The 14,789-nt window shown below is 59.4% G+C and overlaps 1 protein-coding gene across 1 annotated transcript in view, besides 11 other annotated features; it reads left to right on the top strand.

Annotated features, from left to right (window-relative positions):
- Positions 770-1,279: a silencer, noted in NCBI's record as "silent region_20449". NCBI's record gives its function as "represses an Ori minimal core promoter by ATAC-STARR-seq in GM12878 lymphoblastoid cells {active_cell/tissue: GM12878}" and the evidence as "EXISTENCE:reporter gene assay evidence [ECO:0000049][PMID:35858748]".
- Positions 770-1,456: a biological region, named in NCBI's record as "H3K27ac-H3K4me1 hESC enhancer GRCh37_chr9:136024237-136024884".
- Positions 809-1,456: an enhancer, noted in NCBI's record as "H3K27ac-H3K4me1 hESC enhancer chr9:136024237-136024884 (GRCh37/hg19 assembly coordinates)". NCBI's record gives its function as "activates a minimal SCP1, AML or CMV promoter by ChIP-STARR-seq in naive H9 embryonic stem cells {active_cell/tissue: H9 hESC(naive)}" and the evidence as "EXISTENCE:reporter gene assay evidence [ECO:0000049][PMID:30033119]".
- Positions 1,096-14,789, top strand: part of RALGDS (ral guanine nucleotide dissociation stimulator) — a 51,489-nt gene continuing 37,795 nt past the window's right edge. Inside the window, exon 1 of the mRNA NM_001042368.3 lies at positions 1,096-1,343. Within this exon, the coding sequence (NP_001035827.1) occupies positions 1,326-1,343 (18 nt within the window). The 5' untranslated portion in view covers positions 1,096-1,325. The remainder of the gene's footprint in view (positions 1,344-14,789) is intronic.
- Positions 1,310-1,399: a silencer, noted in NCBI's record as "silent region_20448". NCBI's record gives its function as "represses an Ori minimal core promoter by ATAC-STARR-seq in GM12878 lymphoblastoid cells {active_cell/tissue: GM12878}" and the evidence as "EXISTENCE:reporter gene assay evidence [ECO:0000049][PMID:35858748]".
- Positions 5,541-5,660: a silencer, noted in NCBI's record as "silent region_20447". NCBI's record gives its function as "represses an Ori minimal core promoter by ATAC-STARR-seq in GM12878 lymphoblastoid cells {active_cell/tissue: GM12878}" and the evidence as "EXISTENCE:reporter gene assay evidence [ECO:0000049][PMID:35858748]".
- Positions 5,691-5,790: a silencer, noted in NCBI's record as "silent region_20446". NCBI's record gives its function as "represses an Ori minimal core promoter by ATAC-STARR-seq in GM12878 lymphoblastoid cells {active_cell/tissue: GM12878}" and the evidence as "EXISTENCE:reporter gene assay evidence [ECO:0000049][PMID:35858748]".
- Positions 5,937-6,496: an enhancer, noted in NCBI's record as "H3K27ac-H3K4me1 hESC enhancer chr9:136019197-136019756 (GRCh37/hg19 assembly coordinates)". NCBI's record gives its function as "activates a minimal SCP1, AML or CMV promoter by ChIP-STARR-seq in naive H9 embryonic stem cells {active_cell/tissue: H9 hESC(naive)}" and the evidence as "EXISTENCE:reporter gene assay evidence [ECO:0000049][PMID:30033119]".
- Positions 6,949-7,038: an enhancer, noted in NCBI's record as "active region_29233". NCBI's record gives its function as "activates an Ori minimal core promoter by ATAC-STARR-seq in GM12878 lymphoblastoid cells {active_cell/tissue: GM12878}" and the evidence as "EXISTENCE:reporter gene assay evidence [ECO:0000049][PMID:35858748]".
- Positions 7,089-7,218: an enhancer, noted in NCBI's record as "active region_29232". NCBI's record gives its function as "activates an Ori minimal core promoter by ATAC-STARR-seq in GM12878 lymphoblastoid cells {active_cell/tissue: GM12878}" and the evidence as "EXISTENCE:reporter gene assay evidence [ECO:0000049][PMID:35858748]".
- Positions 7,618-7,667: an enhancer, noted in NCBI's record as "active region_29231". NCBI's record gives its function as "activates an Ori minimal core promoter by ATAC-STARR-seq in GM12878 lymphoblastoid cells {active_cell/tissue: GM12878}" and the evidence as "EXISTENCE:reporter gene assay evidence [ECO:0000049][PMID:35858748]".
- Positions 7,718-7,997: an enhancer, noted in NCBI's record as "active region_29230". NCBI's record gives its function as "activates an Ori minimal core promoter by ATAC-STARR-seq in GM12878 lymphoblastoid cells {active_cell/tissue: GM12878}" and the evidence as "EXISTENCE:reporter gene assay evidence [ECO:0000049][PMID:35858748]".

The raw sequence follows: 14,789 nt of genomic DNA, 5'->3' as shown, positions 1-14,789 counted from the left end.
CTGGTCGACAAGAAGGAGACTGCGGCTGGTGCAGTGGCTCATGCCTGTAATCCCAGCACTTTGGGAGGCCAAGGTGGGAGGATCACCTGACGTCTGGAGTTTGAGACCAGCCTGGCCAACATGGTGAAACCCCATCTCTACTAAAAATACAAAATTAGCCGGGCGTGGTGGCAGGTGCCTGTAATCCCAGCTACTCAGGAGGCTGAGGCAGGAGAATTGCTTGAACCTGGGACGTGGAGGTTGCAGTGAGCCGAGATCGCGCCATTGCACTCCAGCCTGGGGGACAAGAGTGAGACTTCGTCTCAAAAAACAAACAAACGAGACTCCATCTCAAAAACAAAAGTAAATAAAAAATAAAAAGGGACGAAATCAGTTAGCCCTAATAACACTGACTACCCCCAACAGTCGCTCAACCCCAGTGTGAGGCCTCCTTCCCCCAGGCTCCCTTGAGCCCCATCTTACACCAGCTGAAGCTGCAGCTGGACCTTGTGGTCCCGGGTGCTGTCAGGGAAGACAAGGAGGGAGGTGGGGAAGAGGAGGGGAAGGGGAGACCTGACTTTCTCCCTGCCCAGGCTGAGTTCGCTGTCACCTCGGGTCCCCCAGCTCCCAGCCATCCGCCGAGCCGAGTCCAGCAGGTGGCATCGGGGTGCTGGGCGCCAGGGTGAACGTGTATATTTGGTGACGCCGGCGCGCCGACTCAGCGGCCCCCGCCTGGCTGGGGCGAGGTTGGCCCTAGGTCCTAGCGGGGTGGGGAGTACTGAGCAGGCGGCTGGGGCGGACGGACACGTGAGATCGGCCGCACATGGCGCTGGGAGCGTGGCGCGTGCGCGCGGCGAAGCGGAGTGACGTGCACGCGCTGTCTGCGGTCCCGCGCAGGCCCCGTGTGCGCGCCCGGCCTTGGACAACAGGCCCGGCTGCCCCGCGGGGGGAACACCCGCGTCGGCCCGCGGGAGGGAGGCCTGAGCGCGCCCCCGAGCGCGTCCCCGAGCTCACGCGGCGGGGCGCGCCCCTCGCACCTGCGGGCGGGCTGGGGCGGGGCCGCGGCTGTCCCCGCCCACCCGGGCCCGAGCCCGGGGAGCCGGGGCGGAACCGAGCGGCGAGGCCCGAGCGGCCGGAGCGCGGCGCGGCGCAGACAATGGGAGCGGCGCTGGCGGCTGCCGGGGCGGCCCCGAGGGCCGCAGAGTCCTGGGCCCGGCGGGGACCGGAGGCCGCGCCATGAGCCCCGCAGCCGGGCGCACCCCTGCGCCGCGCGCGGGCCCAGGCGAGCGGCCTCTGCGAGCCCCGGGTCCCGCCCTGGGGCCGGCGATGTGCCACCGAGGCTGAGGATGATGGTAGATTGCCAGGTGAGTGCGCGCCGTCCCCAGCCTCGCGTCGCGGGTGGAGGGAGGACCGTATGCCCCAGCCCACACCCACCGGGGGGAGGGAGCCCGGCGCCGCGTCCACGCTGAGCGTGCGCTTACGCAGCTCCGCGTCCAACCCCGCCCGGGACAGTAGGGAAACTGAGGACAGGAGAGGGGCAGGGACTCGCCCGGGGCACACGAAGTTGGCGGAGTCCAGAGATGAAGGGAGGGTTCCGGCCTCTTAGGCCAGGAAGGGCTCGGCTCACCCTTCCCGTGGGGTTTGCTTTGGGAATGACAGCCTCTAAGATCCTGGGGACCCCTGCCCATCTCCCATGTGGGCTCATTTGCCTGGGCTTCTCCGCGCACGTACAGGCGCAGGCCTGCGCATACATGCTCACACACACGCAGACACACACACCACACACTTCCTGGGGCTCAGAGTAGGACGGGACGCTGGGGAAGTGACTGGGGGAAAGAAGAAAGAGGGCGGGGGCTACTCTGCCACGGGCAGGGGCATCCAGTACCCAGCAACATGCCTGGGGCCATGGCACGGGGTGGGGGGCAAGGGGAGGACACGCCAGCTTGATGGGCGGGGATTCTCCAAGGTTCCCAGGATCTGTCTGGGCTGGGGCAGCCTGGAGAGGACAGATTGTGGGGTTCTGTGTTCACCGCTGTGATCACCTGGAAGCAGGAAAAGACCCCTTCAGTGTGGACGGGGCTGTAGGAAAGGAAGCCTCAAATTCCTGCTCTATAAATTGGAATGTTTGGCCTGGGTGACTCCAAGGGTCCCACAGGCTCGTAGACGTGTCTGTCGGCCTTAGGTCTCCACTGGGGATGCCCCCACTACCCACCGAGGTCTGTGGAAAATGCCTTCTTCTTGGAGGTTCTTCTGAGCAAGAGAAGCCGGGGGGGCTGAAGGGCTGAGGGCCTGGGGTGGTGCAGAGCGTGGCCAAGCACTGGACAACTCTTGTGGGACAAGACTGTCCTTGTTGGAGCCTCAGGGTTCTTATTTGGAAGTGGGGCCAGAGCCGTTGCCCTGGTTGGAGTGAGGAGGCCTCACGAGTGAACTGGACACCCCAGGACCAGCAGAGGGAAAGAGGGGAGCAAATGAAGCTTCTGAGGCGCCTTGAATTACCCCTGGAGCCTGCAGGTTCTGCTCCTTTGACCCCCTGGGACTCAGGAGAGCTGCTACCTTGACAACACCCAAACAAAGGTGTGTGTTTTGTTTTCTGGGTTTTCTGCCTGAGGCTGCTGCTGCTGTGCTAGTGCCGGCCACCAGGGGGAGGCAGTGCCCACTGTACTCATTGGAGCAACTGGAGTCAGGGAGAGCCCGGCAGGGTCCCTCTGGGGGACCCCGGCCTCTACCCAATGCACACCCCCCATTACTAGCATCCCTCTCCACAATGTTAGCTGCTCAGAGGCGGGAGGGGGCTCCAAGAGCTTCCTCTTTCCCTTCAGCAGGTGTGCCCAAGCACTCACCCTGGGTTGTGGGGGGGCAGCGTTGGGCTTGGGTGTGGCTCTGAAAGTGACCCAGGGGGGCCTGCCCTCCAGAGCTGGCAGTCTGGAGGGGGCGATGGACAGGGCACAAAAGCAAACAGGCACAGAAAGGAAAAAGCAGTGCTGCAGCGAAAATAATGCCGGGGCTGCCATGGAGGGCTGGGGCCTGCTGGGTGGGGATCTGAGAGGTCTCGCTAAGGGGACATCTGTGCTGTGACCAGAAGACAAAGCATGGGCCAGCCCTGCACGAGTCTGGACAGTGTGATGGAGAAGGCTCAGCAGGCAGGGCTGGGAGGCAGAAATGAGTTTGGCCAGAGAGGAGTGAGAAAGGAGGCCAGTGTGGCCCAAGTGAGCTGGGGGTGGGAGGGGCAGCCCAGGGGCCTGTGGACAGCTATGTGACAACACTACCCTAATGTACAGCTTCCAGCAACAGACATTGATCATCACACAGTTTCTGTGGACCCAGATCCAGGGCAGCTCAGCTGGGTGCCTCTGCCCCCAGGTCTCAAGGGAGGCTGGGACTGGGGTCTCATCCATGGCTGGACTGGGCAGGACCCGCCCCCAGGCCATTCTCATGTTATTGGCAGGATTCAGTTTTGACTGAGGGCATCAGTTCTTCTGTGACTGTTGGTGGGGGCCCTCCCTTGGTTCACTGCCATGTGGGTCTCTCTGTAGGGCAGGCAGCTCACGGCATCAGAACTCACTTCCCCAGAGTGAGGGGTGAAGGTGGGGAGGAAAACAAGAGCAAACAAGCAAGACAGAAGTCATAGTTTTTTGTAAATCTTGGAAGTGACCTCACATCACCTGTGCTGTGTTCTGTTGGTGAGAAGCCAGTCACTAAATCCAATCACCCTCGGAGGAAGGGGATCACTCAGCAACTTATGTACCAGGAGGCAGGGATCTCTGGGGCCAGTGTGGAGGCTGCCTGGGACAGTGTCTGAGAGGAGGCAGTCAGGCCTGATTCTAAACATAACGGAGGCTGGGCGCGGTGGCTCACACCTGTAATCTCAGCATTTTGGGAGGCCGAGGCGGGTGGATCACCTGAGGTCAGGAGTTCAACACCAGCCTGGCCAACGTGGTGAAACCCCGTCTCTACAAAAAAGAAATACAAAAATTAGCTGGGTGTCTCGGCAGGTGCCTATAATCCCAGCTACTCCGGAGGCTGAGGCAGGAAAATCACTTGAACCTGGGAGGTGATGAGTGCAGTGAGCCAAGATCATGCCACTGCACTCCAGCCTGGGCGACGGAGCCAGACCCTGTCTCAATAAACAAACGAACAAACAAACAAACAAACATCATGGGAGCCATTGGAAGGTGTTCCCATTGGAAGATGCTCCCATATGCCACAGGGGGCCGATATCTGATTTTTGCTTCATTTTCAACCCGTTCATGGTGCAAATGAGGAAACCAGACCAAGAAGGGAGTGACTTTCCCCAGATCACAGCACCAGTGCCCAGCCTGTCCGACTTGTATTCCGGGCTGTGTCTCGCCCCTGTGAGAAGTTTCTTTCCTCACAGTTGTAAAGGCCAGAGGTCCAAAATCCAGGGGTCAGCAGGACCCTGCAGTCTCTGAAGGCCCTTTTCCTTCCTAATCCTTCCATCTCTAAGTCTGTGAGGCAGCTAACAGGTTTTGTAGTATTGTCTCACATTAGCGTGGTGATGTCCCCAGGAAGTAGACGTTAGAACCATCCCCATTGTGCAGGTCAGGAGACTGGGGAGGCCCTGAAAGGCACAATGGCTAGTTTGGGGTCACAGAACTGGCAAGAGGCAGGAGCTTGGTGACCCAGATGGCTTCCCCTCTCTGAGCCTCAGGGGCTGGGAGCATGAGAACACACTGGTTGGCTGTCCCAGCTCCCAGGGTGGCTGTGAGTACCTGGAAGTGCCCCTTGTCTCCCCTCACACATCTGCCATCACTCTCCCCATTTCCTTAACCCCCAGCACTGCTGCCACTTGATTTTTACGAACATCTGAATATGACGAACATACAGATTTTTACGAACATCTGAATATGACGAAGTAGCAAAGGTGGATATTCACTCATTCATTTCGTATCTGTCTCCTGGGCCCAGGCCATGCCGGGGCGGGGGGTGGGGGTAACAAGAATCCGGGGAGTTGCCAGGGGAAGGGGAAGTGCTCATCTGGGGAGTGCGTGGGCACAGAGAGATTCCAGAAGGAGGTGTCCTGTGGTCGTGGTTGATTCGTGGAGGGGAGGTGTGGTGATGGCACAGAGGGTGATGACTGGGACCAGTGTCTATCGGGTCAGCTTCCTGGGCTGCTGTCACAAAGTGCTGGGTGGCTCAACACAACAGAAATGTATTCTCTCACAGTTCTAAAGGCCAGAAGTCCAAAATCCAGGGGTCAGCAAGGCCATGCTGTCTCTGAAGGTTCTAGGAGAGGATACTTCCTTGCATCTTCCAACCTCTGGTGGCTGCCAGTTTCCTTGGCATTCGTTCCTGGTTTTGTAGACGTGTGACTGCAAACTGTGCCTTCATCAGTTCGTGTCTGTCCGCCTGTGCGTGTCTGTCCAATTTTCCCTGTTATCATAAGGATAGCAGTCATTGGATTAAGGCCCACCCTAATCCAGTATGACCTCATCCGGATTCTATCCGCACAGACCCTATTTCCAAATAAGATCTCATTCACGGGTACCAGAGATCTTTTTGTTCAGGGACACAGTTCAACCCGTAACAGGAGTATTGGGAATGATCCCCCTCCCAAAGGCCGGGTACCCGCGTGCCTACGGGGACTAGGGGAGCAGCGGGGAGTCGGAAGACATCGCAGGAACCCAGCCCCCAGCCAGGGGGTGTGGGGGCGTGAGCGGAGCCCGCCTGCTCCTCAGCTTGGCGCGCTCTGGCGGCAGCACCAGCAGGTGGCGCTGTGCCCTCCCGTGCGGCCGCCCAGCCCGGCGCGGAGCTGCCGCAGACAAAGGTCTCGCTTTCGGGTCGCGAGGAGCTTGCGCACAGCTGTAAACAGGCCAGGGGCACGGCCACCTCATGGGTGACACACACGGGAGGAAATCAAACCAGGCGGGGCCGAGGCGGGGTGACTGGGTGGCGACTTTGCGTCGGAGGCCGGCGGGGGGCGGAGGAGGAGGTGACAGGGGTGGCGAGGAGGACCATGGTTTGCAGACCGTGGTGTCAGCGGGGCGGAAAGGAAGGCAGGGAGGAGGGATAGGGGACCTGCGAGGCTGCAGGGGCCAGGAGTTTGCCTTTCGTTTGGTTCCTCGCCTGCAAGCTGAGCCGGCCTTTCTCAGGCCTCTCCAGAGGCCGTGCGGCTGATGACACTGCGGTTTGCAGATAGCTCTCCTGTTACTGCAGGCCCAGGTCTGCGGGTGCTCGGAAGGCAGCCCTGGGCACGGGTGGGCTGTCTGTGCAGATAGAGACTTGAGGGGTCCTTCCCCCCAACCCCAGCCCCAGACCCTGCCTCAGGGGAGCTGGGATGCCTGAGGTGGTCCTGCTGCTCCTGGTGGGGGTCAGCACAGCCCCTCAGAGGCGCCTTTGATATACAAAGGGGCGAGGCAGTGTGGGGCTGAGGAGCAGGGGTCAGGTCCCCGCCATGGAGCTGCTCACATGGCATCAGCGAAAGGGAGCGGAGTGCACAGCGGGCCGCTGGCCCAGGAGTGGAATGAGTGGAAGCCATTCCTTTATTTTATTATTATTATTATTATTATTATTATTATTATTGTTGTTGTTGTTGTTATTATTATTATTATTATTATTATTATTATTATTGAGACAGGGTCTTGCTCTGTGGCCCAGGCTGCAGTGCAGGGGCCAGATCACGGCTCACTGCGTCCTCGACCTCCTGGGCTCAGACCTCCAGAGTAGCTGGGGCGGCAGGTGCACGCCAACACTCCCAGCTAATTTTTGGATTTTTTTTGTAGAAACAGTTTCACCATGTTGCCCAGGCTGGTCTCAAACACCTGGGCTCAAGGGATTCCCCCCGCCTCGGCCTCCCAAACTGCTAGGATTAAAGGCTTGAGACACTGCATCCAGCAAGAGGCCATTTCTTACTGTCACCTCCCTACCCGCACAAGGCCCTCCCACCACCTCCTCGCTCACCGAGCTACCAGGCCCGCCCCTGAGGCTGCTGGTCCTTGACAGTTGGTTCAGCGATTGATTCACACAGCAGATACTGGCCTCTGTACACCTGGCTGGCGCTGGGTGCCTGGCCTGTGGGAAGCACCCTGGCTTCTGTGGAAGGCTCAGGGGTATGGGGCAGACAGATCTTGTGGAGAAGGCATGGGCTGCGAGCCTGGGGACCTGGATTCAGTGGCCACTCTGCCATCAGTGGCGTGGTCAGTCACCATTGCACGCTAGCCACAGGACTATTCTCCACAGAGTCCTTCCCTCTGTCCCCTGCTGCAGAGGTGCCTGGTGATGACAGCCAGCCTGTAGGCCTTGTGCTAAAGTGTCCCTTGTATCTGCTCAGCACTCTGCAAGATAAGTGCCACTGCCATCCTCACTTCCAGGTGGGGAAACTGAGGCACTGGAAGGGGAAGGAACTCCCACAGCTAGGTAGTGGCAGCTTGGCAATGGCGCCTCCCCGTGTGCACACAAGCCTGGGAAGGGCCAGGCACCAGGACCACATTCCTTCCAATTACAGTGGCCTTCCAACGGTCAGGGCTGGGCCCGGCTGCTGGGCAGGGCGGGGCTGGGAGGCCCTAGGCCCCAAGTGGTGGTTAATGGCGGCAAGGAGACATAAACAGAGCTAATGAGCCCCTTTCATCGTCTCCCTGCTCTAATGAAGGCCTTGGACTCTGGGCTTTGCATTTTGGGGGTTCTTGATTCTGGAGCCTCAAAGAGTCTTAGGGCCAGGGGTATGTGGGCCCCCCCATAGGGGTGGGGTGTGAGCTTATGGACTCCCAGTGTCCCCTCCCAGGGCAGCCAAGCCAGGGTGAGGAAGTGGAGAGGAAAGGGAACGGGAAGCATTGTGGCATCCCCCTAAGAATGACAAGCCCCAGAAAAAAGGGAGTGTTCCCGTGGCAACCCAGAGCAGTTGCTTGGCAACTGCTGGCCCCCAAAATACTTGCCTGCAGGAAGGCTCCGGGCTGGGGCTTTCCGATGGGCTTTCCGATGGCTCACTTCCAACCCCCACCAGCGCACACCCACCCCTGGCCCAAAAAGAAGACTCTGAGGCTGAAAGAGAAAATGCAGAGACCAGGGTCCAGGACCTTCATTAGAGCCTGGGGAGGAAGGGGCCTGACCTGCTGAGTTTCCTCAGATACTTCTCATGGCCCTCCACCCTGACACAGGACCCAGTAGACTCTGCCCCTGGATCCTTCCTGAGGGACACCCCAGTCCACTCCCCCCTCCCCATCTCCCCACTCTGCCAGCCACCCGGCATCAAGCCAGTCCCCTAGCAACAGAGGCCGCTTCCTGGATACCTGAGTGAGAGTTGACAGTGGCAGAATGTCAGAAAACGCAAGGTCAGAAAGCACAGCGATGGCTCGGTGCCAGCCAGAGTGTGTGGGGCCATGGGGTACCACGTGTGGTACCGTGTGCTTTGCCGCCCTGCAGCCGTGGGCTCCCTGGCCTGGGGCTGGATGGCATGCCAGGTTGTGGTTGGGCTGGGTACAGCCCTTGGAACAGGGGACTGTGGTTCTGGGCCAACTTTGATACCGACTGACTATGTGACCTTAGTGTGTCCCTTCTCGCTGGCCTCAGTTTCCCCATTGGTGGCCCATCTACCCCTCTGCCTGTGTGTTTACCGTTCAGTGCATAAACATTGCCCTGTGAATTATGTCACCTACTGGGGCCTTGGGGCAGGAGAGTGAGGGGACCAGGACCAGGCCGCCACTGCCCTTCCTCCTCACATGTCGGCATCCACCTCGGCCATCAGGCCCCTGGTCCTCAGGTGAGGCAGGTGGCTTTGGAGCAGGACACCTGGGTCCAAATTCCAGCTCAGCGCTTATTGCTGGGCATCCTAGAAGCAGCACAGGTCCCCTCTGAGCCTCCCTGTCTGCCCTGAGGTCCCCGCAGTTGCTGTGAGGGTGTAAGAAAGCCCTGCCCTTGGGCTCCCATAGGGGCTGCCTTAGTTTGTGGGCACCCACCCTGCACCCAGACTTGGGCACTGCGGGAGCCGAGGTGAGAACATGGATGAGGGGTGTCCAGCCTGGAAGGAGCGAGGTGGAGCCCCAGACCCTGGGAGAGGGTGGGGCAGTAGAATGGTGGGAAAAGGCAGGTGGGGCCACACTGCCCAGTGGGTTGGACTTTGGGGATGGGAAGGCTATGAGACCTGGTTGCCTCAGATGTTCTCTCTGGGGATGGCAGTGAGGGTAGGACTGTTGGTGACAACTCTGCAGGAACTCCCGGTGCTCTCATGGAGCCAGGATGCCAGTCTGACCCTGGTCATTTGCTCACTGTGTGACCCTGGGTCATGATTTCACCCCTCTGAGCCTCCCTTGCCCCATCTGTCAAATGGGCAAGGGGTGTGCCCACCTCCGGAGTTGGGTACTGGGCTCGTATGTTCACTTGGGGGTCGTCGGCTGGGCTCAGGGTGATCCCATGGGGACTCTGCCCAGCCACCCCCAGCTGGAGTGCCACAGGAGGAGGGGCAGGGCAGAGGGCAGCACAGACAGTGGCGGGGAGCTGCCGGCCCACAGCCCAAGGTGCGTGCAGCCCCGGCCCACGTTCTTGCCGGATGCCACGCCAAGAAGGCGGGCGGATGAGGCGAGCCCCCAGCCCAGCACCAAGGAACAGGCTGCAGGAAGCCAGTTGGTGGGAGGGAAGATTCAGGCACACAGCCCCACCCACCCTGCGTGGGTGCTGCACTAAGGACCTTCCCCACCCCCTCCCCCACGTTGGCCTCCCCTCCCTGCACTGCATGGTGGGCACATAATTAACTGAATTGAGCTGCCCAGTCCTTCTGGGAAGGATAAGGGGGGCCGGGACCCACTGCCTGCTGGAGGGCACCCCAGTCCTTCCCTCTTTCTAGGTTAGGGTCCAGAAAGGGCTCCCATGGGAAGGGTGCAGGACCTCTCTGCTGGACACCACCCGAGAGGTCAGGTGTGCCCATCTGACCTTTGTGTTCCGAGGGAGGAAGGCAGGGAGGGGTGGGCTTGTCCAGTGGAGAGAAAGAAGAAAGCACCCTTGGCCAACCAGAGGCCCTGAGTCCAGGAACTTCCCCCACCTCTGGCACCCGCCCCTCTTGGGACTTTGTCCTGATCCCAGATGTGTGTGTGGGGGGGTGCCCTTTGCCTGTAATGTAAGTTCAAAACTGGGAGGGTGGGACCGTGGGGAGGGTGGGACCATGGGGAGGGTGGCAGAAGGTATTTAAGTCCTGGGGGCTGCCACCACCTGACCTGAATCCATTCCAAAGGGATTCCCGCTCCCACCCCACCCCACCCCACCCCTGCTGGGCTATAGCTGCAGCAGCACTTATCTGTCCCGATGATCAAGTGATCAGCTGATTAATCACCTGACTAGTGCTGTCATCTGTCACGATGTTCACCAGGAACAGCAGCCGCAGGGAAGTTCGGGCTGTCTAGAGGTCAAGGGGAGAGAAGCCTGGGAGGTGGGATGGGAGCCCTGGCTTGGCCTCAGGGGACCCAGACAAGTGGGTTCCTTAACTCCTCTGTACCCCCATTGCCTCCTCTGTGGGCCTACGGATGTGGGGGAGTATGAGATGTTCCTGAGGCCCCTGGCACCGCATGGGCAGGCCCTCCGCAGATGGCAGCCAATGTCTGCTCCGCTTCGCAGAAGGGAGATGGCCGATGGCCCACCAGCTCCCGCTGCCCTTGGGGAGCCAGGGTGTGGGTGGAGGGCAGGGACACTTGCAGGCCCTAAGTTGAATCCACAGGTTTTTTTCAGGTAGGGGAACTACGGCCCCGAGGAGGCGAGTAAGTTGCCCAGGCCACGCATCCCACTCTCCCCCGACCCCCTTCTTCCCTGAGGCCAAGTTCCAGGCCCTGCTGCCCAGTTGACAGGACTGGAGTTCAAGGGTGAAGCAGTCCACCTGGCCCCAGGCCCTGGGTGGCTGGGGAGGTGACAGCTGGGGGTAGTGGGCAGGTGGGTAGTGCCCAGTGTGGAAGGTCTCAGCTGGCGGCACCGCCTGCCTGGTCCCCCTGCCCCCTCGAAATAGCCGCTTGCCGTTCTTCAGGACTCCATGAGGTGTTTCCTTCCCAGCTTCTGGGGTCGGGGAGTCCCTGCATGGAGCCCTGCCTCCTCCCCTCTCCGCAGCCCTGAGGAGATTGCTGTCTGGCAGATATGCAGGGAGCAGGGTGTGTATCCAGGGCCTCTGGGCCTGCAGGGGCAGCGGCTGTGTGCTGTGGGATGCGGTGGGGCACATGTGCATTCTAGCACGTGTGTTGGGGGCAGGTGCATCTCTCTGCCTTTGGGTGACCCTGTATGTCTGCAGCATGCATGTGCTCAGATGTGACAAGCTTGACAGTGGCTGAGGGAGCACATATATGAAGGGGTATGTGTGGCTGCGTGTGGGGACACATGGCTGGTGCCTGGGGAGGGACAGCACGTTGCCACAGTGAGTGTGGGAGGGAGTGGGGGTTTGCATTTTGCCTTTTTAAAGCACTAGACCTGGACAGGTGCGGTGGCTCATGCCTGTACTCCCAGCATTTTGGAAGTCGAGGCAGGTGGATCACCTGAGGTCAGGAGTTTGAGGCCAGCCTGGCTAACACGGTGAAACCCCATCTCTACTAAAAATACAAAAATTAGCCGGGCGTGGTGGTGCACACCTGTAATTCCAGCTACTCGGGAGGCTGAGGCAGGAGAATTGCTTGAACCTGGGAGGCAGAGGTTGCAGCGAGCCGAGATCACTCCAGCCTGGGTGACAGAACAAGGCTCTGTCTCAGATAAACAAACAAACAAAGCACCAGGCCCAGGCCGGAGCCGTGACCATGAGGAGGGCTGAGTGTCAGTTTTCTCATGTGTCACTGGGTTGACAGCCGGACCCAGCTCACAGGGTTGTGGTGGCTGGGAACTGCTCAGCCACTGCCTGGCACACCCAGCTGCCCACCATGATGCTGGCATGGAGACCTGAACAGCTCTTGGAGGGTCCCTGGGCAGGGGAGGGCAGCTGGTACCTTGCTGTCCTTTGTCAGGCATCCCAGGTGAGGCAGATAGGAGAGGCCCTTGAGCCTCGCCTTCCAGGGGAGAAGCCAAGGAAGGAGCCAAGCCCAGGGATTAACGGGACAGTGGGTGGCAGGAGGGTGGGACACAGCAGTGTCCCTCAGACCCAGGGCCCTAGAGTCCCAAGGGATTGCGCTTCTCTAGCCCTGGGGAACTTCTTGCAGGCAAAGGACTGTGAGAAAGAGGGCAGCGGGCACCAGCCCTGCCACCTCCTGGCAGCCAGCCAAGGCCCTGTGCCCTCTCCAGAGGCCAGGGCAGCTTAGGAGGTTCCCTTTGGAAACAGTAGCCCCACTTCCCAGGCCCTCAGCCCCTTCAGGCAGGCAGCAGGCTGGTGGCGGCACCGGGCACACAGTGTCCCTGGCACGGCAGGCAGCCTCCCAACCACAAGGGCCCGTTTGTCCTGGTTCCCCTGGCCCGAGCGCACTGGGCGACCAGGGCCTGCTGGACACAGGGGCCTGACTGTGGGCTCAGCCCCCATCCCCCATCCTCACCAGCCACGGCTGTGCCTTGGGGAGGGGTCTCTGCCCACAGCAGAGCAACTTCTACTTACCTGTGAACAGAGACCCATTCCCCAAGAATTGTTCCTGGGCCAGGAATTTAGGAAGGGAAAACCCCCTAGGTTAAACCAGGGCCAACCTGACCACCTACCACCGCCTCCACCGTCCCAGGGCAGGCTGGCTTCTGGGAAACTCCAGGGCCCTGCTTCTAAGAAAAAGGGCTCTTGCTTCCCAGAAAGCCTGGCTGCCTTCCTCCTCGCTCTTCCCCCGCCTGGCTTGCCTCTGCCTCTCTTCTCAGCCTGGTTCCTGGGGGGAAAGCACTTTAATGGGAGGGAGCCAGGTGAGCAGAGGCGCCCCGCCCTTCCCTGGCCCTCCGGCCCCCTGCCCTCCCTCAGGCTCCTCTCCAGCCTCATCACCTCTTCCAAGGAGCTCTCCTGGTGATCTTCCCACAAGAACCTCCGAATATTTTAGAGTCTGGCCCATCGAGCTCACTTGTTCATCTAGGCATTTATGGAGAGCCAGCTGTGTGCTAGATGCTGTTCTAGGCATCAGGACCCTGGGGAACAGAGTCCCTGCTCTCAAGGAGCTTACAAACTCCCCGCCATGGGGGGCATGAAAGGACCCCGTGGTAGGTGAATTGTGTTGTTTTGTTTTGAGACGGAGTCTTGCTCTGTCGCCCAGGCTGGAGTGCAGTGGCACGATCTCAGCTCACTGCAACCTTTACCTCCCGGGTTCAAGTGGTTCTCCCGCTTCAGCCTCCCGAGTAGCTGGGACTACAGGTGCACCACCACACCCGTCTATTTTTTGTATTTTTAGTAGAGATGGGGTTTTACCGTGTTGGCCAGGCTGGTCTCAAACTCCTGAGCTCAAGTGATCCGCCCGCCTCGGCCTCCCAAAGTGCTGGGATTACAGGCGTAAGCCACCACGCCCAGCCTTGTTTCGTTTTTTGAGACGAAGTCTTGCTCTGTCGCCTAGGCTGGAGTATGCAGTGGTGCTATCTCAGCTCACTGCAACCTCCACCTCCTGGATTTAAGCCAGTCTCCTGCCTCAGCCTCCTGAGTAGCTGGGATTACAGGCACGCACCACCATGCCCAGCTAGTTTTTTTGTTTGTTTTTGAGATGGAGTCTTGCTCTGTCGCCCAGGCTGGAGTGCAGTGGCACGATCTTGGTCACTGCAACCTCTGCCTCCCAGGTTCAAGCAGTTCTCTGCCTCAGCCTCCCGAGTAGCTGGGGTTACAGGCGCCGCCACCACGCCTGGCTAATTTTTGTATTTTTAGTAGAAACAGGGTTTCACCATGTTAGCCAGGCTGGTCTTGAACTCCTGACCTCATGATCCACCCGCCTCGGCCTCCCAAAGTGCTGGGATTACAGGCGTGAGCCACCGCACCCGAGCTAGTTTTTTTGTATTTTTAGTAGATGCAGGGTTTCACCACATTGACCAGGCTGGTCTCGAACTCCTGAGCTCAAGTGATTCACTTGCCTTGGCCTCCCAAAGTGCTGGGATTACAGGCGTGAGCCACCGCGCCCGGCCAAGGTGAAATGTTTTAATGTCCCTCCTTCCATCCATACCCGCGCTGCCCCCTCAGCCCTCCTGGCCTGTCTGCAGTTGTAGCACCTGCTCCTGCCCCATGGGCCCCATCAGCCTTCCCTGTTCTGTTTTTGCCTTCTGGAGCATTCTTATTTTCAAAAATGCATTTTACTTATTATGACCTAGGCCAAAGGTGATTTTTATGTGTTGTGTTTTTCCCTGGTCTATCGCTGGCACTTGAATAGTGCCCGGCACCTAGTAGGTGTTCAGTAAATTCGCGTGGTCTGGCTGTGTGAATATAGTTGTGCCCCGGGCCCTCTCTGTGGTCTGCAGACAGTGCAGGCTACAAACTCTGTTACTGATCCTCATCTCCTTCAGTAGAGAAATGGACATTGTTTAGAAACTCTATGGCAGTTGACATTGCTGCAACATTTCACCTGCATTTTACAGAAGTATCAGCTGGCCTTGAATTCAAAATAAGAACTCTGGTTCTTCCCTGCAGAGGATGCCACCTTGGGGTGCCATTTTTTTGACACGGAGCATGTGCCAGGCCCTATCTTGAGTGCTTCCCATCCAGTGTTTCATTTCAGCATGCAGTCTTTTTGAGGCAGAGATGTTCCCTGTTGATGGGCTAGAACCAAGGCTCAGCAAGGGAAAGGAACCTGCCTGGCTCACCCAGCTCCACCCAGCCAGGAAGTGACAGGATGAGGGTTTGGCCCAAGACTCCTGACACTGTAGGCCCCAGCTCCCAGCCACTGCTTGGATCCTTACAGTTAGACGTTGGGTTCCTCCTGGAGCTGGACCTGGGGGCAGGCAGGGTTGGGGAGGGGAGCTGCGGTGCC

Source organism: Homo sapiens, chromosome 9, assembly GCF_000001405.40.
Source record: "Homo sapiens chromosome 9, GRCh38.p14 Primary Assembly".
Classification (NCBI taxonomy): Eukaryota; Metazoa; Chordata; class Mammalia; order Primates; family Hominidae; genus Homo; species Homo sapiens.
Note: the sequence above shows the minus strand (reverse complement) of the source record. Positions and strands in the feature narration are given on the sequence as shown.